This window comes from Homo sapiens, chromosome 5, assembly GCF_000001405.40.
Source record: "Homo sapiens chromosome 5, GRCh38.p14 Primary Assembly".
NCBI classification, from domain to species: Eukaryota; Metazoa; Chordata; class Mammalia; order Primates; family Hominidae; genus Homo; species Homo sapiens.
Genome location: NC_000005.10, coordinates 77,028,406 through 77,055,810, shown reverse-complemented (window position 1 = coordinate 77,055,810; position 27,405 = coordinate 77,028,406). Strand labels below are relative to the sequence as shown.

The following is a 27,405-nucleotide window of genomic DNA, read 5'->3' as shown; positions in this document are numbered from 1 at the left end:
CAGAAATGTATATTCAAATGTAGGCTATTATCATTTTTCTACTCCAACTTCAATAGTTTTTAGGTTATGAATACCAGAACAGTAAACTAATACAAATCACGAAATCATACTACACAACTATTTATATATAAAATGTACTGAGCATATTTAAAGACATTTTTACTCAAAACCAGATATACAGCTTAACAAATGAAACAATATTCAACATCCTCACCTGTAAACCATATTTTACTCGTATTTTCTTTAATTCTTTTCTTCTTTCCAACTCTTTTTCCTCCTTACTTAGTGTTGGACCAACTGAAAGAAAAAAAGTTTGGTTAAAAAAAAGCCACTAAATCTGATTTTGTACAAAATTAAAACTAATGTTATTTAATTAATAAAAAACTAATATAACCCATTCCAATTAACCAGAAGTTGAAATAAACATTAATATAAAGGATATTGGGTTGTGATGATGTCCTTTCAGCATTTTGGTAACTAAACCTAATTGAGAAGTAAAGCAAAAACCACAGATAATAGGAATCTTATAGCTACCAAAATGAACAATGAACATCTCGATTTTTCAATATGATTATTGTAATAGAATCTCAAATGCAGAAATATTAAGTAAATTTTGCAAAGGAACATAGCCATATGCAAAATAAAAGCCAGAGAAACCAAAATTCATGTTATTGTGTAATGCAACATATTCATTTTCAAATTAGTATCAGAAAACAAAAAATAAACAATGAACATGCAAACTTGGCATTTAGGGGGAAAATTTATGTCAAAAAAGATGACCTCTTACTAGTTCAAAGCATCTATTTAAATTTTAAGAGCTTTCGATGGCTGGGCTGAAAGCAAAACAGTAATATCCTACAGTGCTATTATAATAAAGAATAATGGTACATAGACAATATACAGCACGAGCTATCAATAGGACAGAAAACGTATCAATCAATAACCCTTCATGCCTTGGCTTATTATTTCCTACGTTAATATTATATGACAGAGTTCAACTGTGGATGACTTTTTTTACATCAATACATACCTGTCAAAAGGAAACCAGTCTTTATTAAATTATTACTTAAGTCATAATTACTTTTTAAATTATTTTAATTGATAAAAATTGTATATATGGTATACAACATGATTTTTGATGTAGGTATACACTGTTAACTGGCTAAATCAACCTCATTAACATACCCATTACTACTTCATGTACTTATCATTTTTTGTGTATGGTAAAAACACTTAAAATCTACTCTCTTACCAATTTTCAATTACAACTGCTCTTAAGTACATTTGACTACCACTACAGTCTGCCTCAAAAGCCTACTAAACTGGATTAGCAGAAAGAGAGCTTATCAATCTCTTTCCTGGTCAAAAAGCAGACCAATGCTACATATCATGAAGCTAAATTATTACACAGAAAAATCAACTACAATTATAATCTATTAGCCTAGGTCTCAACTTCCAAATATATGTTATTTCTTAGTCTCATTTGGTAATATTTACGAAATATATCTCAATCTATTATTAGATCAACTGGATACAAGACTGATAGCTTTGTATAAAATATCTCTCAATGCAGTATCGTATCAATTAGACATGTAGCCAGTAGCTGACTGATGTTTTTTAGAACATTTAGGTAATGAAAGAGAAATGTTATCACAGCCACATTTAATCTGTTTCACATACCAAAAGATTCATCTTTCTTATCAAGGCGAAGGTGGGCTCTAACCTGCCCTGGTTCACAGCCATCACAGGTATCACTGCCAGGATGAATGTGAAAGGATAAGACAGTTTCTCCAATTTTGACTTCATCTCCATGCTCAAGTACGTAAGGGTCACATTTAGTTTTCGGCTAGAGGGGAAACATTTTACAAAACAGAAATCAAAACAATCACTTATGGTTACCTTACATCTACTGTAAGTAATGTCTGATTATAATTTTTAAAATATATTTAAAATAGCTATAAATGAAATAGACACATACACATACACACATGCACACACTTCCCCAACTTAATGACCCATAAAAAAAGTACTACTATTGGAGATGAAGATAGCTGAACTGAGCAACTTGTCAAACCCACCAGTCTCCCTATCCAATCAGAAATATCCAATTCTAGACTTCAATCTATTACCAAAACATATAATCATCACAATAAAAAAAGATGAAATGTTAAGAGAATGGGATAAATGCATCACATCTCCCTTTTCTTCTCTCTTGATAACTCAGTTTTATTTCCATTTTTACTCTTACAGACTAAGAATAAGGCCTCCCGCCTTCCTATATTTTTTCTTTTTTTGAGACAGTCTCACTCTGTAGCCCAAGCTGGAGTGCAATGGCGTGATCTCGGCTCACTGCAACCTCCACCTCCCCGGTGCAAACGATTCTCCTGCCTCAGCATCCCAAGTAGCTGGGATAACAGGCACACACCACCACGCCCAGCTAATTTTTGTATTTTTAGTAGAGATGAGGTTTCACCATGGTGGCCAGGCTGGTCTTGAACTCCTAACCTCAGATGATCCACTGGCCTCGGGCTCCCAAAGTGCTGGGATTACAGGCGTCAGAACCAACACGCCCAGCCCCTATATTTTCTTATTTATGCCAAATACTTTGCTACATGCTGAGGATGTTAAGTGTTAACTGAATAGACATAGCTTTTCCCTTTAATACAGTTTTCAATTTAGTAACATTTCCATTAAGACAATAAAAAAAGGGACGACCTTCAAAGTTGCTATTGAGACATTTACACACTTACTCTGAATAGCTTTACAATGGAGTCATAACTGAAAATAAGGCATAGATACATAATTAGAAGTCAAAACTCAACAGCCAAGTAAGTACCCACTGATTATACACTTTTTTCAGCCTTTCTGGAAATTCCTTCCGAAGTAACACATTTGGGCTTAACTCTACTCTGAACCAAATGATAAAGATTATGCCCTTCAGAAATAAAAAAAAATCAGTTTAAAAATAATGTGCAGGTAACAAATTAACACATATACACTCACCTGAAGAATCTGTTTTCCATTAACAATTGTGCCATTTTGACTGCCTTGATCCACAAGGACATAACTTTGTAAGTCATGGTCAAAATAAATTTCTGCATGAAACTTAGAAAGTGAAATCAAGCAATTATTAATTATTATACTTTTCAAAACTATGGACAATTTCTGTATGATATGATGATGTTAACTTGAGCCTTTGATAATTTAAATTTTATTATACTTAATACTTTTTTAGAAACACAAACTATTATATGCTTCTGGTAGAAACAGAGGCTATAGAAGAAAATGTCATCTATAAATCTACCTTTAATTACCATGAAAAATTTAGAATATGTCCTACCTCTTCTCCTTTGGTACTAGAGATTATAATTTGAAAAATTTTGACCTAATGTAAGTATTTGTACATATCATTAAAAACTTTTTTTTTTTGGTCCATATCATCAAAAACTTTTTTTTTTGAGACAGGGTCTCGCTCTGTCACCCAGGCTACAGTGCAGTGGTGTGATCACCGCTTCCTGCAGCCTTGACCTCCTGGGCTCAAGCGATCCTCCCACCTCAGCTTCCTGAGTAGCTGGGACCACAGGCATGTGCCACCATACCTGGTTAATTTTTGTAATTTTTGTAGAGACAGGGTTTCACCATGTTGCCCAGGCTGGTCTCAAACTCCTGAGCTCAAGTGATCCTCCCGCCTCAGCCTCCCAAAGTGCTGGGATTACAAGCATGAGCCACCACACCTGGCCAAAAATTCTTAATACAAAATGTGATTTGAAACACTCAAGGCCAACTTCTCAGAGAAGTTTCCAAGATGTTCAATAGTTAGGACTAATCTTTCCCTCCTTGTTCCATAACACTCTATCTATTCCTCTTATTTTGCTTCTTTAACATTAAGTCATGAGGTTCATCCAGTTGTTATACACAGTTATAGAGTTGTCGTTCATTCATTTTGCTGAATGGTAATCCATTGTGTGGATATACCACAATCTATCCACCCATCCTTCTGAAAACAGACATTCAGGGTTTTTTTCCAAGGTTTTACTATTTTTAAAAATATTACTATAAACCTTCTTGTACCTGCAATCTATTTGTGTACAAAATGCAAATGTTTCTCTGGAATACACACTTAGGAATGGAATTGCTAAATCATAACATAAGCAAATCTTCAACTTTACTACATAACTGTTTTCCAAAGTGGTTGTATCAATTCATATTCCCACCAGCAGTCTGTGAGAATTCTTGCTGCTCTATGTATACTAAACCAAAACTTGATGTTGCCAAAATTTTTAATTTTTGCTAGCCTAAGAGGTGTGAAATTGCCTTATCATTGTGATTTTAACTTGCATTTCCTGGATTACTACCAAAACTCTTTTTTTTTTTTTTTGAGATGGAATCTCGCTCTGTTGCCCAGGCCGGAGTGCAGTGGCATGATCTCGGCTCACTGCAAGCTCCACCTCCCAGGTTCATGCCATTCTCCTGCCTCAGCCTCCCGAGTAGCTGGGACTACAGGCACCCGCCACCACACCTGGCTAATTTTTTGTATTTTTAGTAGAGATGGGGTTTCACCGTGTTAGCCAGGATGGTCTTGATCTTCTGACCTCGTGATCTGCCTACCTTAGCCTCCCAAAGTGCTGGGATTACAAGCATAAGCCACCGCGCCCAACCCCCCAAACTCTTAATATTTATTAGCCATTTGGGTTTCCTCTTCTGTAAATTTTCTTTTTATGTCCTTTGTACACTTTTTTCCAACTGGATTGTTTAGAATAAGTCTTTCTGTACTGCCAAACCCTATTCCAAAAAGCTTTTCTAAATTACATTCCCAAAAGGAGTGATATTTAATAAATGATGAATGAAAATTCACACCTTGGCTTCATCTGTATTTCTTAGATTACTAGAAAGACTAAATGGTTTTTCATATATTAACCATGATATTTCCTTTACTGTGAACTGCCTGATGTATCTTTTGCTCATTTATCTACTGGTGTCACAGTGGAGTTTGAAAACATAAATTTGCATGAACTTTTCAAAAATAAATAATGTATATTGTGTCATATTTGTTGTGCCTGTCCGAGTCTGCCTTCTAAATTGGTTTCTTAACATATAAAGAGCAAGATCATTTTGTCCTTTGTAATTTTTACCATTTTTTAAACTCAGAAAGTCTTCTATCTAGTGGTCAAATACTTGTTTTTTCCCCTAACATTAAGCTTCTTTTTTAAAAGTTTTTCATCTATTTGGATACATGTTATATGTGCTATCAAACTGACTTCACCAACAAATTATCCACCCCACTAGCGGATGTTAGTTTAAATGAAAGAAAAAACAGAAATGCCACCAGAAGCCTGGTGTGGTGGTGTGTGCCTATAGTGCTAGCTACTCAGGAAACTGAGGCAGGAGGATCACTTAAGCCCAGGAGGTGTCAGAGGCTGTGGTGCGTGCCACTGCATTCCAGCCTGGGCAACACAGTTAAGACCCTGTCTCTATAAAAAAAAAAAAAAAAAAAAAAAAAAAAAGAAACAAAGAAAAAGAAAAAGCCACCATAGAACTATCTATGGTTTAGACTGGAGGTGGGGAAGGATCTCAGATCGCTTTGCTATTTAAGTTACAGATTAGGTGTTGTTTTATTTTTTTGGAGGCAGGAGACTCAAGGTCATAGTAAAAAAGTAAAAAAGCAACATAATCTGCTTAGAATTAAAATTAAGAGGACTTTTTCCTCTTTCTGAATGAGTCCCCAGAAAGTGAAAGTAAATGGACTTTCAAATTAAAAATGAGAAATTATATTCCAAAAAGACAAACATCACATAAAATCTACTTTAGGTCCACATTACAGTCCGTTAAATAAAAGCAAAATGGGAACAATGGAAGGTCAAAAAAAGAGAAAAGCAAAACAGGAAAAAAGATAACAACCATAAGAGAGGAGAGAGAAAACACAGAAAACATAGTACAGGAAAGAGAAATATAAAGAGCCTCAGCCAGACGCGGTGGCTCACGCCTGTAATCCCAACACTTTGGGAGGCAGAGGCAAGATCACTTGAGCCCAGGAGTTTGAGACCAGCCTAGCGAACACCCAGGTGAAACTGCATCTCTATGAAATACATAAAGATTAGCTGGGCATGGTAGAGTATGCCTGTAGTCCCAGCTACCTTCGGGGCTGAGGCGGGAGGATTGCTTGAACCCGGGAAGATGAGGCTGCAGTGAGTCGTGATCACATCACTGTACTCCAGCCTGGGTAACAGAGTGAAATCCTATCTCAAAAAAAAAAAAAAAAAAAGTAAAAATATATAAAGAATCTCAGCAGCTAAACCTTTAGTTGTTTTCTACTTATAACTTGAGTTGCAATTCTGTTCTATTTGTTTTGAAAACTCAATTGTTCTTTTTCCTGAAACCATTAGATGCTCAATTAGGAGAAGTTTTAAACAAGAACCCTGAGTGGTATAGGATATATTCTTGGGTTGTGAAATCCTCCGGCTCAAAGTAACCACCTACTAAAGTAGCCAGAAGCCAGGTAAGATTCATTTTTTAAAGGTCATAAAATGTAGCCTATTTATTTCACTCAATAAATATTCATTAAGTGGGTACTACTTTAAGACTTCATATGCTTTCTACTCTTGTCCAGATTCTTAAAAATAAACATAATTTTATTTATTCAAATTGTGATAAAGAATTATTTTCTCAAGCACTGGAATAAACAGATCTGCACTGCCTTTATTACCATTACTACACTGCATGTTAACCTTCCTATTAAATGAGAAAAATCCCTAAGCTTTCTACTGTAATAATAATATAAAAAATTACATCTAGGGGACTATATTTGATAAATCAAAGAGCTTACCTTACTGACACCAACTTCAGGGATTCGGAGAGTATGTTCCATATCCTTTTCTCTGCAGAGTTAAGTAAAGTGTCTTTAATAATTTTTGAAGCATATTATATAAAGTGACATGGAAAGAATTTTAAAAAACAGATAATGTTAAAATACACGTCTATCAACAGTAAATCTCCTGGTTATGGATTATCCAGTTTCCTTACTGCTACTCTAGATTTCCTGTGCTTTCACACAGTGATTATTTACTCATGTCTTCTTTCCCCCTAGACTGTGCTTCCTTTGGGTAGACATTTTGCATTAGTCCTCTTTGTATCCACAGCACATAGAATAATGCTTAACATAATGGCCAGGCGTGGCAGCTTATGTGCCTGTAATCCTAGCACTTTGGGAGCCTGAGGTGGGTGGATCACTTGAGGAGTTCGAGACCAGTCTGGCCAACATGGTGAAACCCCCGTCTCTACTAAAAACACAAAAATCAGCTGGGCGTGGTGGTGCACGCCTGTAATCCCAGCTACTCAGGAGGCTGAGGCAGGAGAACTGCTTGAACCCAGGAGGCGGAGGTTGCAATGAGCCGAGATCGTGCCACTGCACTCCAGCCTGGACAACAGAGCACAACTCTGTCTCAAAAACAAAAAACAAACAAACAAACAAAAATACATGCTCTTAATAAAGCCTTTCTGAAATAACTGAAAGAATGATATAATAATATTAACCATTTTACCTTCCAATTGTAGCAGGGTTTACAGCAGTAATGATAAAGAGTGATCCTATCTGCAACACAGGTGATCTAATGACAATTACTCTAATACATGGGGGCCAAATTTTGTCTTCATCTGCCAAGGAAAGAAGTGAGTAAATATTAATTTAACTACTATGAAAAAGAACTTCATAGGGATAACTAGGAGGCATCCATAAAATAAAAATGTGTTGGTCAAAAATCTTAATTCTGACTAAAACAAACTTCTTAAATTCTGCTGTATAATACGCAGCAATGGGTAAGGCTTAACACTGTTATTAAAGTGATCCACATAAAGGTTGCTGCATATTTAGCATCTATCACAGTTATCAAATAATCAACTCTTTCTTTTTTAAGGTTTCAGAATCTGAAAAAATCCCAAATATTTTTATATTATTTTAAGTTATAAAAATTGAGTCCATTAAAAAAAAAAAAAAAAAGGCCAGGCACAGTGGTCCACACCTATAATCCCAGCACTTTGGGGGGCCGACGCAGGCAGATCACCTGAGGTCAGGAGTTCAAGACCACCCTGGCCAACATGGTCAAACCCTGTCTCTACTAAAAATACAAAAATTAGCTGGGTGTGCGTGGTGACATGCGCCTGTAGTCCCAGCAACTTGGGAGGCTGAGGCAAGAGAATCACTTGAACCCAGGAGGCGGAGGTTACAGTAAGCCGAGACTGCGCCACTGCACTCCAGCCTGGGCAATAGAGCAAGGCTCTGTCTCAAAAAAAATGCAAGAGAAATGCCATTGAGAACCAAAGAACAAAGTAAGCTCATATACTACACAGTTGGCCCTCGGTATCTGTGGGGGATTAGTTCCAAGATCCCTCCTCATATGCCAAAATCTATGGATGTTCAAGTCCTTATATAAATTGTATCGTATTTGCATATAACTTATGTGCATCCTTCTGTATAACTTAAATCATCTCTAGATTACTTACACCTAATACAATGTAAATGCTATATAAATAGGTACACCATATTTAGGGGACAATAACAAGAAAAAAAGTGTGTACATGTTCAGTACAGATGTAGCTATCCATTTTTTTCCCTGAATATTTTTGATCTGAGGTTGCTTGAATCCACTAAAGTAGAACCCATGGATACAGAAGGCCAACTGTAATATGAAATCCTGTGTTTTAAAAGTATGTCTTTATATATTCAAGTAAAAAAAAATTAGATTTACCATAATATCCATGTAGCTGAATTCATAATGTATACTTTTTAAAGACAACTTGTTTTTCTCTCTCAGTTACAAAAGTAGACTACAAATATCTAACCCACTAAAACAGCCTTAATCTATATTTTAAGATTAGAATCCAGGTAACCTGGCTTTGTATTCTACTGACTATGCCATTCAATACAATGAAACCTTCTGAAGGTCTAAGTATTAGTCATTTATTCACATCCTACTCTCTAAGAATAACCAAGTGGCAACCCACAACATTTTCAATAACATCATTAAAATAATGTTTACTTTCTGGCAGATATACTACAACTCACTAACATTTTTAATGGTTTTGCTCTTTTATAGTTACCAGACTGGGCTATTTACTTAAATAATGATTATTTACTCACCTTCATCCTCACTATCTTCTGCAGTTACATTGCCTTCACTGGTAATGGCTTCGTCATAACTATCCTCAGTCTGAGAGTCTGTAATTTCACCTTCCTCTGGTTCACTATCAGTCTCCATGATTTTCTCATCTTTAAATGATGTTGAATTAGAGATGTTTTCATGAAGAGGAGACTCTATAGTATTTCCACTAGTTGGAACAGTGACTTTGGGGGGACTATTTTTGTGATGAATGCCTATTTTGGCCTTCTTTTTCATATTTGCGAAATTTTCTTCCTCATTGCAGCTTGTATGTTCAACACTGAAGGCTTTTTGATCCTCTGAGTTCAAATCCTGGAGAAGGGTGGGTAGATACGAGGGAACAGGGGAGAATACTCTTAAACATCACTATCTTATAACATTACATCAAGTTTCAACGAATTCGTGAAGATATGTGTCAGTAAAATAACAATGGTTACAATCTGTTCCCCCTCTCCTTCTCACATTTCCTTTCTTGGTTAATGATATTACCATCTTCTTATTATCCAAATTAAAAATCCTATAGTTATCTCTGAGATCCCCTTAACCATATATAAAATTACGAAGTGCTACAGACTTTTCTCAAAATATATCCAAATCTGTCTCTCTATTCTCAATGTCTTAACATTCCTAGTTCAGGCCCTCATCACATACTGCCTGGACTATGGGATAGCCTAGACCAATGGTGTCCAATAAAAATGTAACACAAACCATATTTGTACTTTTACATTTTCTAGTAGCCACATTTAAAAAGTAAAATTATTAATGAGATAGTTTACATAGTCTGCAACATCCAGAGTGTATTTTACACTTAACAGCACATTTGAGTTTGGATTAGCAAAACTTCAAGTGCTCAACAGCCACATGGAGCTGCTGGCTACCTTACTGGATAGTGCAGGCCTAAAGAATACCTATTCTAAATTTTCTTTTTAAACTGGTAATCAATTAGCTAGTCAACACAAATAAAATACAGAATTAGCTTTACTTATGACATGAATTTAAAGATCCAAATGTACTCAATATGTAGCAAAATTGTAGTTTTGCTAAAATTTAGTACTTCAGATTCAGCTTGATAATACATAAAAGTTTAAAGTACAAATTAACTGTGACTATCTTATTCCAAAATTTTAACTTGCCTGGCATAAGTCTTTTATTATTTATTGTACATTTATAGTTGATATGCCTTATAATAAATGAACATTTTTTAATTAACAAAAATGATGTATTTTTATCATGTACAACATGAAGTTTTGAAATACGTACACAATGTACAGTGGTTAAATTGAGCTAATTAACATGTACATTACCTCAAATACTTATTTTTCTGTGGTAAGAAACTTAAAATTTGCTCTCAGCAGTTTGCAATAATACAACACATTGTTATTAACAATAGTCACCGTGTTATACAATGGTCAAATCTATCATTTCAGCCTTAGAAAAAGTAAATAATTATTTTCCATTTTTTTCCCTTGGTTTCTAACGCACTCTCACTTTTCTTTCTACCTCAGAGCAACATGAGGCGAATTCATATGCTCTTCTGTTATTTTATAAAATATGAGAGCATCTCACACACCTTTCTTTCTTTTTTTTTTTTTTTGAGACGGAGTCTCGCTCTGTCGCCCAGGCTGGAGTGCAGTGGCGCGATCTCGGCTCGCTCCAACCTCCACCTCCCAGGTTCAAGAGATTCTACTGCCTCAGCCTCCCGAGTAGCTGGGACTACAGGCATGCGCACCACCATACCCAGGTAATTTTTTTATTTTTAGTAGAGATGGGGTTTCACCATGTTGGCCAGACTGGTCTCGATCTCTTGACCTCATGATCCATCCACCTCACATACCTATCTTTGATAACAGCGTAAGTTCAGCTTGGAGACTGGCTAAACATTCACAGTGTGATAAATTATACACACTTCTAGCAATACAAATTCACCCAGAACAAGAACAAGGGCAAGGAGCTGAAAAACCATGAGGAGCTTTTACATTATAAAATTATAGCAAAAAAGTTCCCTATCTGTATATACTCTTAAAAAAGCAGTTTCCAATCTTGTATATTTATTACTTACTGAACAACATATGCAGGGAAAGCTATTTGCCAGTACAGAACATTAGATAGTCATTAAGTGAAAAGAAAGGAGGGCTTATTTATGGGCACTGAGGCACATATGTATATTTCAAATTATTTACTCCTATCTCCCCTACTGTCTTCCTTCCACATAACCTTCACCTACAAAAAGTGAGGCTCAAAAATATCTTTAAAAATAAAGAAAACAGATGAAGATACTCTCTTGGCCTCACAGGTACCTTTTAGAATCCTCAGGAAATTCTCAAAATTCCAACAGGATTTTTCTTAAAAGTTCTTGTCGAGTGCTCAATGGTGCCCAGGCTGGAGTGCAGTGGCGTGATCTCGGCTCACTACAACCTACACCTCCCAGCCGCCTGCCCTGGCCTCCCAAAGTGCCGAGATTGCAGCCTCTGCCCGGCCGCCACCCTGTCTGGGAAGTGAGGAGTGTCTCTGCCTGGCCGCCCATCGTCTGGGATGTGAGGAGCCCCTCTGCCTGGCTGCCCAGTCTGGAAAGTGAGGAGCGTCTCCGCCCGGCCGCCATCCCATCTAGGAAGTGAGGAGCGTCTCTTCCCAGCCGCCATCACATCTAGGAAGTGAGGAGCGTCTCTGCCCGGCCGCCCATTGTCTGAGATGTGGGGAGCGCCTCTGCCCCGCCGCCCCATCTGGGATGTGAGGAGCGCCTCTGCCCGGCCGAGACCCCGTCTGGGAGGTGACGAGCGTCTCTGCCCGGCCGCCCCGTCTGAGAAGTGAGGAGACCCTCTGCCTGGCAACCACCCCGTCTGAGAAGTGAGGAGCCCCTCCGCCCGGCAGCTGCCCACTCTGAGAAGTGAGGAGCCTCTCCGCCCGGCAGCCACCCCATCTGGGAAGTGAGGAGCGTCTCCGCCCGGCAGCCACCCCGTCCGGGAGGGAGGTGGGGGGGATCAGCCCCCCGCCCGGCCAGCCGCCCCATCCGGGAGGGAGGTGGGGGGTCAGCCCCCCCGCCCGGCCAGCCGTGCCATCCGGGGGGGGGGGGGTCAGCCCCCCGCCTGGCCAGCCGTGCCGTCCGGGAGGGAGGTGGGGGGGTCAGCCCCCCGCCCGGCCAGCCGCCCCGTCCGGGAGGGAGGTGGGGGGGTCAGCCCTCCGCCCGGCCAACCGCCCCGTCTGGGAGGTGAGGGGCGCCTCTGCCCGGCCGCCCCTACTGGGAAGTGAGGAGCCCCTCTGCCCGGCCAGCCGCCCCGTCCGGGAGGGAGGTGGGGGGGTCAGACCCCCGCCCGGCCAGCCGCCCTGTCCGGGAGGGAGGTGGGGGGGTCAGCCCTCCGCCCGGCCAGCCGCCCCGTCTGGGAGGTGAGGGGCGCCTCTGCCCGGCCGCCCCTACTGGGAAGTGAGGAGCCCCTCTGCCCAGCCAGCCGCCCCGTCCGGGAGGGAGGTGGGGGGGTCAGCCCCCCGCCCGGCCAGCCGCCCTGTCCGGGAGGGAGGTGGGGGGGTCAGCCCTCCGCCCGGCCAGCCGCCCCGTCTGGGAGGTGAGGGGCGCCTCTGCCCGGCCGCCCCTACTGGGAAGTGAGGAGCCCCTCTGCCCGGCCAGCCGCCCCGTCCGGGAGGGAGGTGGGGGGGTCGGCCCCCCGCCCGGCCAGCCGCCCCGTCCGGGAGGGAGGTGGGGGGGTCGGCCCCCCGCCCGGCCAGCCGCCCCGCCCGGGAGGGAGGTGGGGGTGTCGGCCCCCCGCCCGGCCAGCCGCCCCGCCCGGGAGGGAGGTGGGGGTGTCGGCCCCCCGCCCGGCCAGCCGCCCCGCCCGGGAGGGAGGTGGGGGGGTCAGCCCCCGCCCGGCCAGCCGCCCCGTCCGGGAGGGAGGTGGGGGGGGTCAGCCCCCCTGCCCGGCCAGCCGCCCCGTCCGGGAGGTGAGGGGCGCCTCTGCCCGGCCGCCCCTACTGGGAAGTGAGGAGCCCCTCTGCCCAGCCAGCCGCCCCGTCCGGGATGGAGGTGGGGGGGTCAGCCCCCCGCCCGGCCAGCCGCCACGTCCGGGAGGGAGGTGGGGGGGGGTCAGCCCCCCCGCCCGGCCAGCCGCCCCGTCCGGGAGGTGAGGGGCGCCTCTGCCCGGCCAGCCGCCCCGTCCGGGAGGGAGGTGGGGGGGGTCAGCCCCCCGCCCGGCCAGCCGCCCCGTCCGGGAGGGAGGTGGGGGGGGTCAGCCCCCCCGCCCAGCCAGCCGCCCTGTCCGGGAGGTGAGGGGCGCCTCTGCCCGGCCGCCCCTACTGGGAAGTGAGGAGCCCCTCTGCCCGGCCACCACCCCGTCTGGGAGGTGTGCCCAACAGCTCATTGAGAACGGGCCAGGATGACAATGGCGGCTTTGTGGAATAGAAAGGCGGGAAAGGTGGGGAAAAGATTGAGAAATCGGATGGTTGCCGTGTCTGTGTAGAAAGAAGTAGACATGGGAGACTTCATTTTGTTCTGCACTAAGAAAAATTCCTCTGCCTTGGGATCCTGTTGATCTGTGACCTTACCCCCAACCCTGTGCTCTCTGAAACATGTGCTGTGTCCACTCAGGGTTAAAAGGATTAAGGGTGGTGCAAGATGTGCTTTGTTAAACAGATGCTTGAAGGCAGCATGCTCGTTAAGAGTCATCACCACTCCCTAATCTCAAGTACCCAGGGACACAAACACTGCGGAAGGCCGCAGGGTCCTCTGCCTAGGAAAACCAGAGACCTTTGTTCACTTGTTTATCTGCTGACCTTCCCTCCACTATTGTCCCATGACCCTGCCAAATCCCCCTCTGTGAGAAACACCCAAGAATTATCAATAAAAAAATAAATTAAAAATAAATAAATAAATAAATAAATAAATAAAAAAAGTTCTTGTCTTGGAATTCGCACATTTTCAAAGAAGAATGGCAAAGATGAGTAGTTATGGGAGCGAGGCTGGACCAAAATATCACAGAATGCTTTCCATGTCTATTCTCTAGTTTTTCAGGCAAGGCCATTTGAGGAGCCCTACATATTCTTCTTCTATTGTTAGGGAGAGGTGCTTTCACAACCTAGCCTTCTTCTTTTTTTTTTTTTTTTTTTTGAGATGGAGTCTCGCTCTGTTGCCCAGGCTGCAGTGTGGTGGTGCGATCCTGGCTCACTGCAACCTCCGCCTCCCAGGTTCAAGCGATTCTCCTGCCTCAGCCTCCCAAGCAGCTGGGATTACAGGCATCTGCCACCACACCTGGCTAATTTTTGTATTTTTAGTAGAGACGGGGATTCACCATGTTGGCCAGGCTGGTCTTGAACTCCTGACCTCAGGCAACCCGCCTGCCTCGGCCTCCCAAATTGCTGGGATTACAGGCATAAGCCATCACACCCGACCTACAACCTAGCCTTTCAAACAATCAAACCACTAGTAACAAGCACAAGCCATTAAAACAGAGATCTTGAAAGCAAACAGAAAACTGATTTTTAGTATTTTAGTCACATACTCTTCTATTCCTAAGTATTGTTCACAAAAAAATAGAACAGAAGCAAATCAAATAGGAGAACAGAAAAAATCTAACAGAATCCTAATTCCTTATGTGAACTTTACAATTTAGTATCAAGTAATTTTTCTTTGGTTAAGAAAAGAAAAACTGGCTGGCACAGTGGCTCACGCCTATAATCCCAGCACTTTGGGAGGCTGAGGTAGGCAGATCACTTGAGCTCAGGAGGTCGAGGATGCAGTGAGCCATGATGGCACCACTGCACTCAACCTGGGTGACAGAGCAAGACCCTGTCTCAAAAAAGAACAGGACAGGACAGAAGGACAGAACAGGACAGGACAGAAGGACAAGACAGGACAGAGATAGGACAGGAAAGGACAGGACAGGAAACCATGAGATAAAATTTCAAGAGTAAGATATCAAATAGTTGCCACAGTTCATAAAATATCAATAAAACAAACAAGCCTCCTTTATAACCTATAAACCACCAAACTTACCTGTTTAGAGAGTAGAAATAAAGAACACTGTTAACTTTTTATATTTTCCTTCTTTCAATTTAACATTGCATCATCATAAGCATTTTTGGGGTTCCCCTTAGTCTTTACAAGTACCATCTGAAAGCCTACATAATACTTTTTTAAATTAAATGTAACTATCGCTTTCTTAACCATTGTCTTGCAGGCCATTTAAACTATTAATCCTAATAAATATGTTATCTCACTCCACAGTTGTCAGCAATGGATTTTTTTTTTTTTTTTAATATTTTCCTGGCCGGGTGCGGTGGCTCATGCCTGTAATCTCAGCACTTTGGGAGGCAGAGGCAGGAGGATCAGCTGAGGTCAGGAGTTCGAGACGAGCCTGACCACATGGAGAAGCCCCGTCTCTACTAAGATTACAAAAAAATTAGCCAGACGTGTTGGTGCATGCCTGTAATCCCAGCTACTCGGGAGGCTGAGGCAGGAGAATCACTTGAACCTGGGAGGCGGAGGTTGCGGTGAGCTGAGATCACGCCATTGCATTCCAGCCCGGGCAACAAGAGTGAAACTCTGTCTCAAAAAAAAAAAAAAAAATTGTCCTAGTAAGTAAAAAATTGCTCCACATAACTAAGAAAGTTGAACCTGTATCTATGTCTACCTATAAACTGTGTTTATCTTTTATTATGAACTGTGCATTGACATCAACTTATCAACTGAGGATCTGAATTCTTCTTCCAAACTATATACGAGATATTTTATCTGACCTTAATCTATCTCCTTCAAATTTTAAGAAATGCTTTCTATTTCTAGTGACAGAGTTTATGAAAAAGTCCATGTTTGCTCCATCTAAACTTTCCTAGGTTATCTTAATGGGTATGTTTGAAATGCAGAGTTATTGAATGATTGTCAGTTTCATAAAAAATTTTGTCTTAATTATCATGTTATCACCATTATGTCAATTTTTAAAATTGTAAAGACATTACCTTTTCCTCATTTGTTGCAGAAGAATCTGGATCTTTTCTTTTCTTCTTCAATTTTTTATCTTTACTTTGTTTTGTGCTAGAAGTCGGATAAGGTTGCAAATCTACTCGAGAATGAAACTGATAACGACCACTTTCCACATCACAATAGTAATAAATTCCAGTGGAAGGATCATAATAGAGTTGATTTTCCTTTGAAAGTCAAGAAAAAAATAAATTCTATTCATGTAAGATAAAATAAACTTAACGAAAATGCCAAATACATTCAAATGTGGTAAATATTTCTTTGAACAACTATAGTATTTTCAGAAGACAATGAATTAAAGATAACAATAAAAAATGCTTTAATCTTCCAAAATACTTTACCATTCAATAACTGATCTAATTTTCCTAGTGTGAGAAACAAGTAAATCTAAATATTAAATTTAATCATATAAAATTGTCAATACTTGACCACTTTTAACTTATAAGAAACAGCAATTTCATATGGTTCCACTTAATACATTAAAAAAATTGATAATACTTTTAAAGGCATGAAAACTAAAGCAAGCATAAGAAAAAGCTGACCATATGAGCGCAATTCTAGACTCCTGATTCTTAATGACTGCACAATAATGGTGTGGCAGTATAAACCCCTAAACCCTCCTCTCAATGTCATAAAACAAAGATTTGTCTTTTGATGTTCATAACTTAAAATTAGAGAAGAAAATTTTGAAAATAAAGTTCATGCATACCAAAAAATAACATTCTATAAAATGCAATCAATAAACTGTCTCCACTAATTAATCAGTTCTATAGTAAATAAGACTTACAAGCAACCATGCATAAATGAATTTGGCAAATTACAGATTTAAAAACCAGAAAGATAAAATTAGGTAATCACCTATATTTATGATATACTGGCCAGTACTCTAAAACCAAATTTAATTGAACAGTCTATATTTTATTTACATCCTAAATCCATGCAGACCAGACCCGGAAACATCTTTAATGTACTGAGATTGAGCAACTAAAACTTCCTGAAAAAGAATAATTTATTTTTCTAACTATTGACACTTGCAATTTATTGTCTTTAATCCATGCATTTTGCAGATCTCTTACAAAAAATATTTAGATTTCTCACCATCTTTCTCTTAACTAAGAAACTGAGTGGAGGCTTTCCAATCTTTATTTCTAGTAATAATGGAACTTTTATAATTCAAACCTTTTAAATCTGTTTATCAGTCCAAAATATAGACATTTTCAAAATATAAAAAAAATTTATTAAAATATTAGCACAATGAAAATGGCAACACAATGAAGTTCCTAATTTACTCAGAAATATAACCTGCAGAACGTACTAACCATTTACAAAACAACTGATGTCAAGAGAAAAGATACAGAAAGACAGGCAGAAGATTGACAAAGACTAATGTCTACTTGAAACTATTGTTTTCCTAGAAACTAAATAACTACTCCCTTTGGATAAGTGTTTAAACATTAATTTCCTGGTTATTAATTAGCATTGTCAATTAGCAACCCCCATGAAAGAAAACCCTCTCTTTACAAAGGACTTACAGTTTACCATATGCAGATTGACAAACTAATGACACCTCTTATGTTAATTGAGATATTTAGTATTATCTTATGTTCTCTAGATAACAATAGTTCCAGTAACAGGAATGATGAACGTCAACTCCACTTTTGTGTACCACATTCTATAATTCCTCAGAAAACCAGATTACATTACTAGATTCTTGAGTTTGAGGTATGTGACTGAGTTCTATCATTGTCATCAAATCTTCAACGAAATATAATTATTAGACTTCAACAGCTATAACACTGTATTATAAATCAAGAACTTTATTTTCTGGTTCTATCCTAGTCAGTGGTCCATTATATTTTAGATCCCATATTAATTCCCTAGTTCTCATTGCTAACAGATTGATTTTTGTTTGCTTGTTTTTTGAGACAGGGTCTCACTCTGTCACCTAGTCTGGAGGGCAGTGGTGCAATCATGGCTCACTGCAGCCTCCATCTTCCCAGCTCAAGCGACGCTCCCACATCAGCCTCCTGAGTAGCTGGGACTAGAGGGTGAGCCACTACATCCAGCTGACTTTTAAAATTTTTTATAGAAAGAGTCTCACTGTGTTGCCCAGGCTGGTCTTGCACTCGACTCAAGCAATCCACCTGCCTCAGCCTCCTAAAGTGCTAGGATTACAAGGAGTGAGCCACCATGCCTAGCCAACAGACTGAATGTTTAAAGTGAAATAGTTAAAAGGCACAGGATATAAAACACTGGCTAATAATAAACATACTACTAAGAATTCAAGAAAGAAGTCTCCTTATGTGGCCTAAAATGAATTCATAAAGTATTTGATATAATTTTTAAAATTCTCATTCCAAGCCTAAAATTAACCTCACTTCTCTATTAATTCTATGAAAAAAATACTGGTTTAGGTTCTAAAATATTTACGATGTAGTTAACTATCTGCTTTTATTAACAAAAGCTCCAGTATTTTTGTCTGTTATTTTTATACATAAAGACTTCTCCAAAACATTGTCTATAATAATCACAATAAAATTTATTTTAACCTTAACCTTATTTTAAAAACTTAGAAGTGTAGCATCATAAGCTATTTTAGAATTCTTCTGTCAAATAGTTTTGAGTCAAATATAATTTTAAATGCAGCTTTTTGCTTTCTTACTTCGGCTTAGGGTTTAATATTTGATATCAGGCACTGAGTATGTATCATACAGTATTAAAAGGTCTGAGATGTAATTCGAGACCAGCCTGGCCGACATGGCGAAACCCTGCCTCTACTAAAAATACAAAAAATTAGCAGGGTGTGGTGGTGCATGCCTGTAATCCCAGCTACTTGGGATGCTGAGACATAAGAATCACTTGAACCTGGGGGGTGAAAGTTGCAGTGAGCTGAGATCACTCCACTGCACTCCAGCCGGGGTGACAGAGGGAGACTGTCTCAAAAACAAAACAAAACAAAAAGGTCTGAGATACTTACAGAATCATAATAGAAACCAGTGCTGTGGTCAAAATACAGTCCAGTATTTTCATCATAACTAAATCCAGTCTGTGATACAGCCGCTTCTGCTGCAGCTCTCAAACTTTCAGCTAATGATGAGCCTTCTAAGGAGGTATCTTCTGTTGCTAATGCAGATGCTGGCTCCTATAAAAGATATAGTCATGCCAAATAAGACAAAAGCTTCTGTATATCAATTAAAAAGTTGGCTGAACTCAAGACCTGAGACTATGTTTAAGTAACGACTTCAATTTCTACAAAGGAAAAGCATGACTATCAATTATGACTTGAACCACTTATTACAACATTTACTAGTGTGTCAGTAACTTCAACTTTGACCCAGTTTTGAAGGCACTAAAAATGAGTGACAATTATTCGAGAATAAATGTATGATGCCACAGGGAAGCCATCCACAAAATACAGACCCTGAAATATTGGCTAAGACAAAGATCTAGGTTCTTCAATGATTATATGTTCAATTGGAAAAAAAATTTCAAAAAGACAAATGAAGGAGAAAACTGTAGATTAAATGAGATATATCAAACACAATAGGGATCCTAATTCAAACAAACTATAAAAACAAATTTATAGATTCAGGGAAATTTGAATAGTGGCAGGGTATCTGACATAAAGGAACATTAAAATTTTTTTAGGTGTAAATGTGGTATTGTTGTCCACAGTTCTTTTGTTCAGTCAAAATATCTGGACAAATTTTGTTTTAGTTTATGTAGATCACAAAATTTTGGAACACAATGTAGTAGGAAAACCACTACATATATGAAGAAGTTCTAATTCTGGTTTTGGAAAAACTACAACATTCTTTGCATAATTACACATAAGAATGTTTATAACCCTTATATATGCTGTGACGGACCAAAGAAGTCTATCTTTCCACATAATAACAACAAAGAAGGACAGGTTCTTGGGCATCAACAGTTTCATGTTTAGCATTTTATTACCTGTGAATTTGAGGCAAAATGGTCCACTTGTCTATATTTAACATTTTCTGTTCTATCGGTACCAGGGTAAGCATCATTTTCTACTTGTAAATGGTCTTTAGAATTCAAAATAGAAGTTTCGATAGCTTGATCTTGTTGATCTGACAGTTCAGTCACTTTATTTGGAAGACTAACGTCATTGTAGTACGTCTGATAAAAATAATCTGTAGCAAAAAAATGAAGTGAAATCGTATCATATTAGAATAATGTATATAAAAAGGACTTAACTACAAAACACTGGCATTTAAACACAAAAAGCACATACTTCAAATAAATCATGATTTTTACAACTGTACAAATTTTAAAAGATTAAAACAGATGGCACAGATAAATCTGCAGAAGTGTGTATCTTTGATTCTAATGTCTCCTTCAAGACCCTAGCTGTCAGTTAAAAAGAAAAAAAAAAGGTAAGTTGGTTACATTTTCTACAGCAAGAGTAAAATAAAAATCTGTAGATAGGTTGTGTTCTATTTAAAAAACTTAACTCTTAACTTCTAACTGGATACCTTAATACTGTTGCTTATCAACTGATAATGAAATAAAGGCAAGGAATTAGGGATTGATTTATTTTTTGGCAAATTTCTCTCCCCATGCAGACTTTTTAAAACGTATCATGCAGATAAGAAAAGTTAGCACTATTGCTATGTTTAGCAATTTAGCCAAAAATTATGTCCTGACTGAAGCAAGGCAAAACTTAATAGGAAAGATGATTTCTTCTTGTGACACATATATATTAAAACTCAGTATCTCAGCTATTTTGCCTTATAACATAATGCCATTCATAAGGCCATGGTGGTGGGCTCACCATTCCCACAAGGGTGAGAGACTGATACTATACATAATTCTAATTAGAACACATCAACAAGAAAACAAATGCCCCTGGTCACAAGGAAGGCAGATATGGAAGTAGATGGCTAACTGCCTGCCAAAAATTACTCAGTGAGTGTGCCACTGAAAACATTAGCAACATTATAGAAATCACAGGAATGACAATACATTTCTACTTTTTCCTCCAGAAGAACAAATTGATTATCCGAAAATACCATTATCATATGGAGAGACGTCAACAGTATTAACAATTCTCATTTACCTTGATCTTTGTTTATTTTAAATTAAAAGAAAACGCAACATTAGCATGATTTGAATGTAACAGTGTTAGCATATCCTCACTATAAGCTAAATACCTGAGATTGACCAAGGAGCATGGTTCTCTGTTTGTACTTCTACATCAGACTTTTTATTATCTTCATTTCTCCCACGTTGGAGTATTTTACTGAGTTCTTCCACCTGAGAGAAAACAAGGCTTTAGGAAAAAGAAATCATGTAACAATCTAATAATATATATACCAGTCTCCTACCGTTACAAATAATTGTTTTAGAGAAATGTCAAGAGCAGCAAGTTTCCCTTTCAGAAAAGCTAAAATTATTATTTTACTTTATACATTTAAAAGGCATTTTTATTCCTAATCTCTCTTACTAAATGTCCAAATATCTCCTCCAAAAATCGAACTAAATAATGAGACTTTGTGAACAAGGTCCTTTATTTCTAACAAATAAGAATGCTTTTATGTTAACATTTTAAAGTCAGTTCTAAAGAATTCAAAAATTCAAAATTTACAAATTCTCATCCCTACTGGATTATCTAATACTCATTTGGTATTCTCCACTGGGAATTAACTATCCACCTGAATATGTTAATGCCACTTACAAGCTTTAATACATTTTTTCATTAAACAGTAGTCCTATAATTAAGTAACTGTAGCAGAAGAGAACAGGGAAGGTGACGGCCTGAGAGGGGCATCTGTCCTCCATGTACTTCACACACTAAAATACCCTTAAAAGGATGCTACTACATAGGACAGAGAGAAACAAGTGTGTGGAAGTGCCCAAAAGCAAGTAACATGCTGCCTCGGTCAATACGCTGCCTCAGTCAATACACCTCAGCCTGAGAGGACCTCAATGTGAGACAATGTCTACTACACACAAGAAACCAACTAAAAAACAAGCTTTTAAATATTTATTTAATGATACATAAAGCTTAAACAGAGAAAGGTGATAAAACTGATCTGTTGCTAATACTAGGGCAGGAACTACAGTGAGGGAAGCAAGACACTGATCGTGAAAAATCTGAGGCGCTCCTCTGATTCATGCAAGTACAGAGTTCATCGCTGGGAATTAGTGCCCCATTAAATTCCTCGCCCTAGGAGCCTGATTGCCTTGCCCTAAATCCTGGCTCTGGCTACTGTCCCTATCACTATGAATTAGATTACTTAGTATCTACTACATGCTGGGCACTATACTTGATGCTTTAGATAACATCTCATTAATTCACAAAACCACCTGAAATATTCGTTGTCCTAACCCCAATTTTACACATAAAATATCAGACAAGACAAAGTAATTTGCACAAGGCTATTTTGGGGTCTTGTACAAACCCTATACATATTATGGTTCTCCAGTTATCATTCTCAAGCAAAACTTTTTAACTGCTCCAAATAAAACACATTCAGTAATTTGGAATGACAGTTAATCGAATCCACCCTCTCCCCAACCAAGGGAGGCTGACTAGGAGAGTAAGGAGTTATCACTATTCAAAGTAGAGTCAAGACTTTCTATGAGATTAAATTTTTAATATTGGACTAAAATGGAGGCATGTGGAGGACAGATGATCCTCTCAGGCAATTACCTTCTGTTCGCTTCTGCTGCAGTTTAGTCACAGAACTACTATTTTTTTAAAGTGTATTAAAGCTTATAAGAGGCATTAACATTTAATAACTAAATCCACGTGAACATTGAATGATATTAGATAACATGAATGGGAATTGATAGCTCTTAAATTTTCTAATTCTTTAGGGAGAATTGCTGACCTCTCAAAATATTAGCATAAAAACATTCTTTTCTGTAAGAAATAAAGGATCTGTTCACAAAGTCCCATCATTTAGTCTGATTTATCAAATTAACAGTAACACCAAAATGCTGGCTCTCTGAAGATTAGCAAAAAACGTTTTCTTTTAGAATCTCTAACGCAAGCAGTACTTCAACAATTTAGAATTATAAAGGAGCTTTTCAAAAGGCTGTCATGTAAAAAAGGCTGTTATATTTTGCTCCCGTCTCCCCATTTTTTTTTTTTTTTTTTTTTTTGAGACGGAGTCTTGCTTTGTCGCCCAGGCTGGAGTGCAGTGGCGCAATCTCGGCTCACTGCAAGCTCCGCCTCCCGGGTTCACGCCATTCTCCTGCCTCAGCCTGTAGCTGGGACTACAGGCGCCCGCCACCACGCTCGGCTAATTTTTTTTGTATTTTTACTAGAGACAGGGTTTTACTGTGTTAGCCAGGATGGTCTCGATCTTCTGACCTCGTGATTCGCCCGCCTCGGCCTCCCAAAGTGCTAGGATTACAGGCGTGAGCCACCGCGCCCAGCCACCTCTCCCTGTTTTTTTTTTTTTTTTTTTTTTACCATATTTGTATTTTCCTAGCATAGTTATTACACACCGTAGGTGTTTAAATTGACTAAACAAAAACTTTCCAATAATGTCATGTCAGGAACTCCATGTAATGGTCATACAAAGTCATTGCAACTCAACAGTTATTTTCATAGTCCATTTGGTAACAAAACAAAGAAGTCTGATGACGTTTCAGTGTTCAGCCTATATACTGGTTTTAGGAAACCACCAATAAATTATGAAGGACTAGACAACGGTCAAATTGAAACTAGTTACTATGTGGAAATAATCTGTTGGCAGAGAGGGCCTGCCAACAAGGTAGAAAAAAATACTATGCTCTTGGTTTTTTGGTTTTTATTTTGAGACAGAGTTGCACTCTGTCGCCCTGGCTGGAGTGCAGTGGCACGATCTCGGCTCACTGCAACCTCCACCACCTAGGTTCAAGCAATTCTCCTGCCTCAGCCTCCCGACTAGCTGCGATTCCAGGTGCCCGCCGCCACGCCCGGCTAATTTTTGTATTTAGTAGAGACGCCCGGCTAAATTTTGTATTTCACCATGCTGGCCAGACTGCTCTCGAACTCCTGACCTGGTGATCTGCCCGCCTCGGCCTCCCAAAGTGCTGGGATTACAGGCGTGAGCTACCGCGTCCAGCCAAGGTTGTTTTTAATGTGACAGTTTAAGTATTAACATTTGCCCCTACCATCTTGGAAACGAAATAAGCTGCTTAACGTCTCCAACAAAAGCAGTTATATATCGTCCCTACTTACACAAGAAAGCCGAAGATGATAAACGCCCAGAAGAGCAACCTTAAACAGGTATAGCATTCAAAAGTTTGTAAAATTGTTTGTTTTACTTCACCTTTACTACTGTGAGCTATCATTCTCATTTAATGGGGAACTGAGACTCGGTATATAAGTTCACACACCCAGTGAATAGCAGAGATGGGATTCTGACTCAAGTCCAGCATTTTAATAAACTCAAATGTGATCTACAGTAAATGCGCCTACTGCCAATGGGATGTTAGGTCAAGTGAGAATGAAGACAATGTAGCCACAGTACTTAAGTTCAATTCACGCCAGCCGCGAGACATTGATTTAAATCAAGTAACCTGAACTCAGGTTTGCTCCTAAGGTACTTGGAATTGTAACTGCGCTGAGCTTCTACTTATTTACTTTAAGTACTCTACAGTAGTTCTGAGCCCCTGCCAGGGACCCCTTCCGAGGCTATCACGGGCTTCGAAGGCCTCGCCTGGGCTGGATGGGGCGCGGGGCTGAGGAGGACCGCGCACCTGCGTGCGGAGCTCCTGGTTGTTGCTTTCTGCGTTCTGGTACAGCCGTTCTGTGTGATGCAGCAGCTTCTCGATCTCCCGCACCTGCCGCTTGCAGCTCCGCAGTTCACGTTCCAACTTCTCCACCTTCCGCCTTAGCTGGGCCAGCTCAGGCTCGGGGGAGGTGGGCGGCGGCGGCGACCGCGGCGGGGACGGCGCCTCCGAGGCCATGAGCTCCGGCGCGAGACTGCTCGTCGCCGCGGAGGGGCTGCGTTCAGGCCGAAACGGACGCCGGCGGACCCAGAGACCACTGGAGCGCGCGGGCAGCGAAAGGCAGCCTCACACCCGGCTGGCCGCGGTGGCCCCTGGCCATGACGCCCTGAAACTCACTTGTAGCCGAACGGGGCTGCGAGCAACGAGCAAGGGGACCGAGGATGGCCCCTGCCCGATGTGCGCGGCCTGCAAACCGGAAAACTTTCCTGGAAACTACCTTCTCCAGCTACAGAGACAGAGGGAGGAGCGTCGGATAAGCAGTCGGAAAACCAGAGGCCAGAAGAGCTCCAGCAGCTCCCCAGTTGAGCCGGAAACAACGGCGCCAGCGGCAGGCGGGACCAAGACGGAACAGGAAGCGACGGAAAGCGGGAAGACCTGACAGTGTACGTGCCGACGTCTCGGCCTGCGGAGGGGCGTTACCTGAGGGCGTGGAGAGCTGTGGCAATGTGGCTACCGAAGCCCTAAGAGCGACAGGGAGGCTTGCAGCCTCTGGTCTCAGACATTTGCACGTGCGGATGTTCTTTGAACAAACTTTTAGTATAGCATGCATTTCCTATCTCCTTGTTTTACAAATAAGAACAGAGTATCCCAGAAATGATTTGTGGGGACTATGATGCTCTACTTATGTCAACTGAAGAATGAGGAGGTTAATAAATTTAGAAAAGGGCTTTATTTCTCATGAAGGGTTACAGCCTGCAGGGTGGCCTTTCTGACAGGCTTGGAAGCATAGCCTCTGGTCAGAAGCTGAGAACAGACACTTGGAAGGAAGGACAAAGGGAACAGAAATTTATGCTGAGCAGGGTGGCCAAATATATTCAATGAGCTGTAGGAGGATTCATGAATATTTATGAAAGGAGAAATATGCACATGCACAATTAAGCTTCCTGCCTCTCTATGGGACCCATATTCAAAAAATGGTGGTGTTAGCATGATCCCAGTGTGAAGTTTTCAGCCCTCTGATGTCAAATGGCAAAGCAGAGGACATGAAAACCCTCGCTGTGAGTCCCTGGTAGATTGGCCAGAACTTCTCTGTGGTTGGTGGTCTCTTATCAGGAAGGAATGCTGGTTGGTGTGAAATCAGCCCAACTGTCCTATAGAACTGATGTTTATGGTTTCTTTTGAATAAACCTGGAAATTTACCCTCCCAGTCTTAAAACTTCAGAAAGTTACATCTTTCTTATCTGAGTTCCTTTCTTGGGAAACCAACCATGAGGCCTCCCAGATAGTATCAAGGAATTGAAACTTACCAGATCACTGCATCTGGACAATGAGGCACCATACCCCTCACCCATCATGATTGCCTAACCAGCCACCTGCTGCCTGTTGAACAAGTCCTCATCCTTACCGCTCACTAATTCCTGTTTTCTCACATGTAGTCACATTTCTCCCTTGCCATATAAACCTCTAATTTTAGTTGGTTGAGGAGATGGATTTGAGACTGATTTCCTATTCTCCTTGGCTGCAGCACCCAAATAGAACCTTCTTCCCTGGCAATACTCCTTGTCTCAATGACTGGCTTTCTATGTAGTGAACAATGGGTCTATTCAGTCAGTTCAGGGGCTCAGAATTTTACTTTTATTTCTCATTTAGTCATTCTTCTGGTTCCTGAGTTTAGACCCCCCGGGAAAATAGAGCAAGTACATTAGGTCTGAGTCGCAAAAAGGAGCATCCCTGGTGGGAAAATAAGAGAGAGACAATATTCTGTGGAAAAGGGGAGAAAAATGCTCTGGTTTGGTGCATTTATTTGGTCTTTTGTCTGCATGACCCTGGCATTGGTTTGCCAATATTTAAACTGATGTGGCCTTCTTTGGAACACACTTCCTTCCTTTGCCAAAGTCATTTAGAATTAGATCATGAGCTCAGAGTCCTGGGCCTGAGATTTGTGGAGGTCAGCAGCTGTGTCATGCAGATGCTCCTCTCTCAGGGCCCAGCACAGTGCCTGTCGCAGAGCAGTATCCGTAAATGCTGAACACAGCTGAACAAGAGAATCCTGTTTGGTGTCTTAGATCAGTGGCCACTTCCATTAACTATATTTTCTTATTTTTTGTATTCTTGATGCTCTGGCATCTGGGGTCTCCCTGACCAGGGAGATAACCCCTCCAAGGGTTAGCTAATTCCTAGACATAGCAAACAACTCACCCAGCATGCCACACACTGATCATCTACCTTCTTTATCAGGCTGTTACACTCCATGCCAATATTCCCCTGCCCTAATCACTCCAGGGCAAAGTACCAGACAACTAGGAACAACTCCTACATCTCAGATCCCACTGAAATTATGCAAACTAAACCTGCTTATCCTGATTTGTCCATTCCTTC

General features: G+C 40.5%; 1 protein-coding gene across 1 annotated transcript in view, besides 3 other annotated features; it reads right to left on the bottom strand.

Annotated features, from left to right (window-relative positions):
* Positions 1–25,407, bottom strand: part of AGGF1 (angiogenic factor with G-patch and FHA domains 1) — a 34,831-nt gene extending 9,424 nt beyond the window's left edge. The window contains exons 1-11 of the mRNA NM_018046.5: positions 24,835–25,407; positions 21,291–21,393; positions 20,068–20,270; positions 19,091–19,255; positions 16,092–16,280; positions 9,134–9,464; positions 7,539–7,650; positions 6,824–6,875; positions 3,004–3,105; positions 1,681–1,846; positions 215–297 (exon numbers count right to left, since the gene is read on the bottom strand). Of these exons, the coding sequence (NP_060516.2) occupies positions 215–297; positions 1,681–1,846; positions 3,004–3,105; positions 6,824–6,875; positions 7,539–7,650; positions 9,134–9,464; positions 16,092–16,280; positions 19,091–19,255; positions 20,068–20,270; positions 21,291–21,393; positions 24,835–25,044 (1,716 nt within the window). The 5' untranslated portion in view covers positions 25,045–25,407. The remainder of the gene's footprint in view (positions 1–214; positions 298–1,680; positions 1,847–3,003; positions 3,106–6,823; positions 6,876–7,538; positions 7,651–9,133; positions 9,465–16,091; positions 16,281–19,090; positions 19,256–20,067; positions 20,271–21,290; positions 21,394–24,834) is intronic.
* Positions 24,590–25,169: an enhancer, noted in NCBI's record as "H3K27ac hESC enhancer chr5:76326467-76327046 (GRCh37/hg19 assembly coordinates)". NCBI's record gives its function as "activates a minimal SCP1, AML or CMV promoter by ChIP-STARR-seq in primed H9 embryonic stem cells {active_cell/tissue: H9 hESC(primed)}" and the evidence as "EXISTENCE:reporter gene assay evidence [ECO:0000049][PMID:30033119]".
* Positions 25,170–25,749: an enhancer, noted in NCBI's record as "H3K27ac hESC enhancer chr5:76325887-76326466 (GRCh37/hg19 assembly coordinates)". NCBI's record gives its function as "activates a minimal SCP1, AML or CMV promoter by ChIP-STARR-seq in naive H9 embryonic stem cells {active_cell/tissue: H9 hESC(naive)}" and the evidence as "EXISTENCE:reporter gene assay evidence [ECO:0000049][PMID:30033119]".
* Positions 25,181–25,530: an enhancer, noted in NCBI's record as "active region_22699". NCBI's record gives its function as "activates an Ori minimal core promoter by ATAC-STARR-seq in GM12878 lymphoblastoid cells {active_cell/tissue: GM12878}" and the evidence as "EXISTENCE:reporter gene assay evidence [ECO:0000049][PMID:35858748]".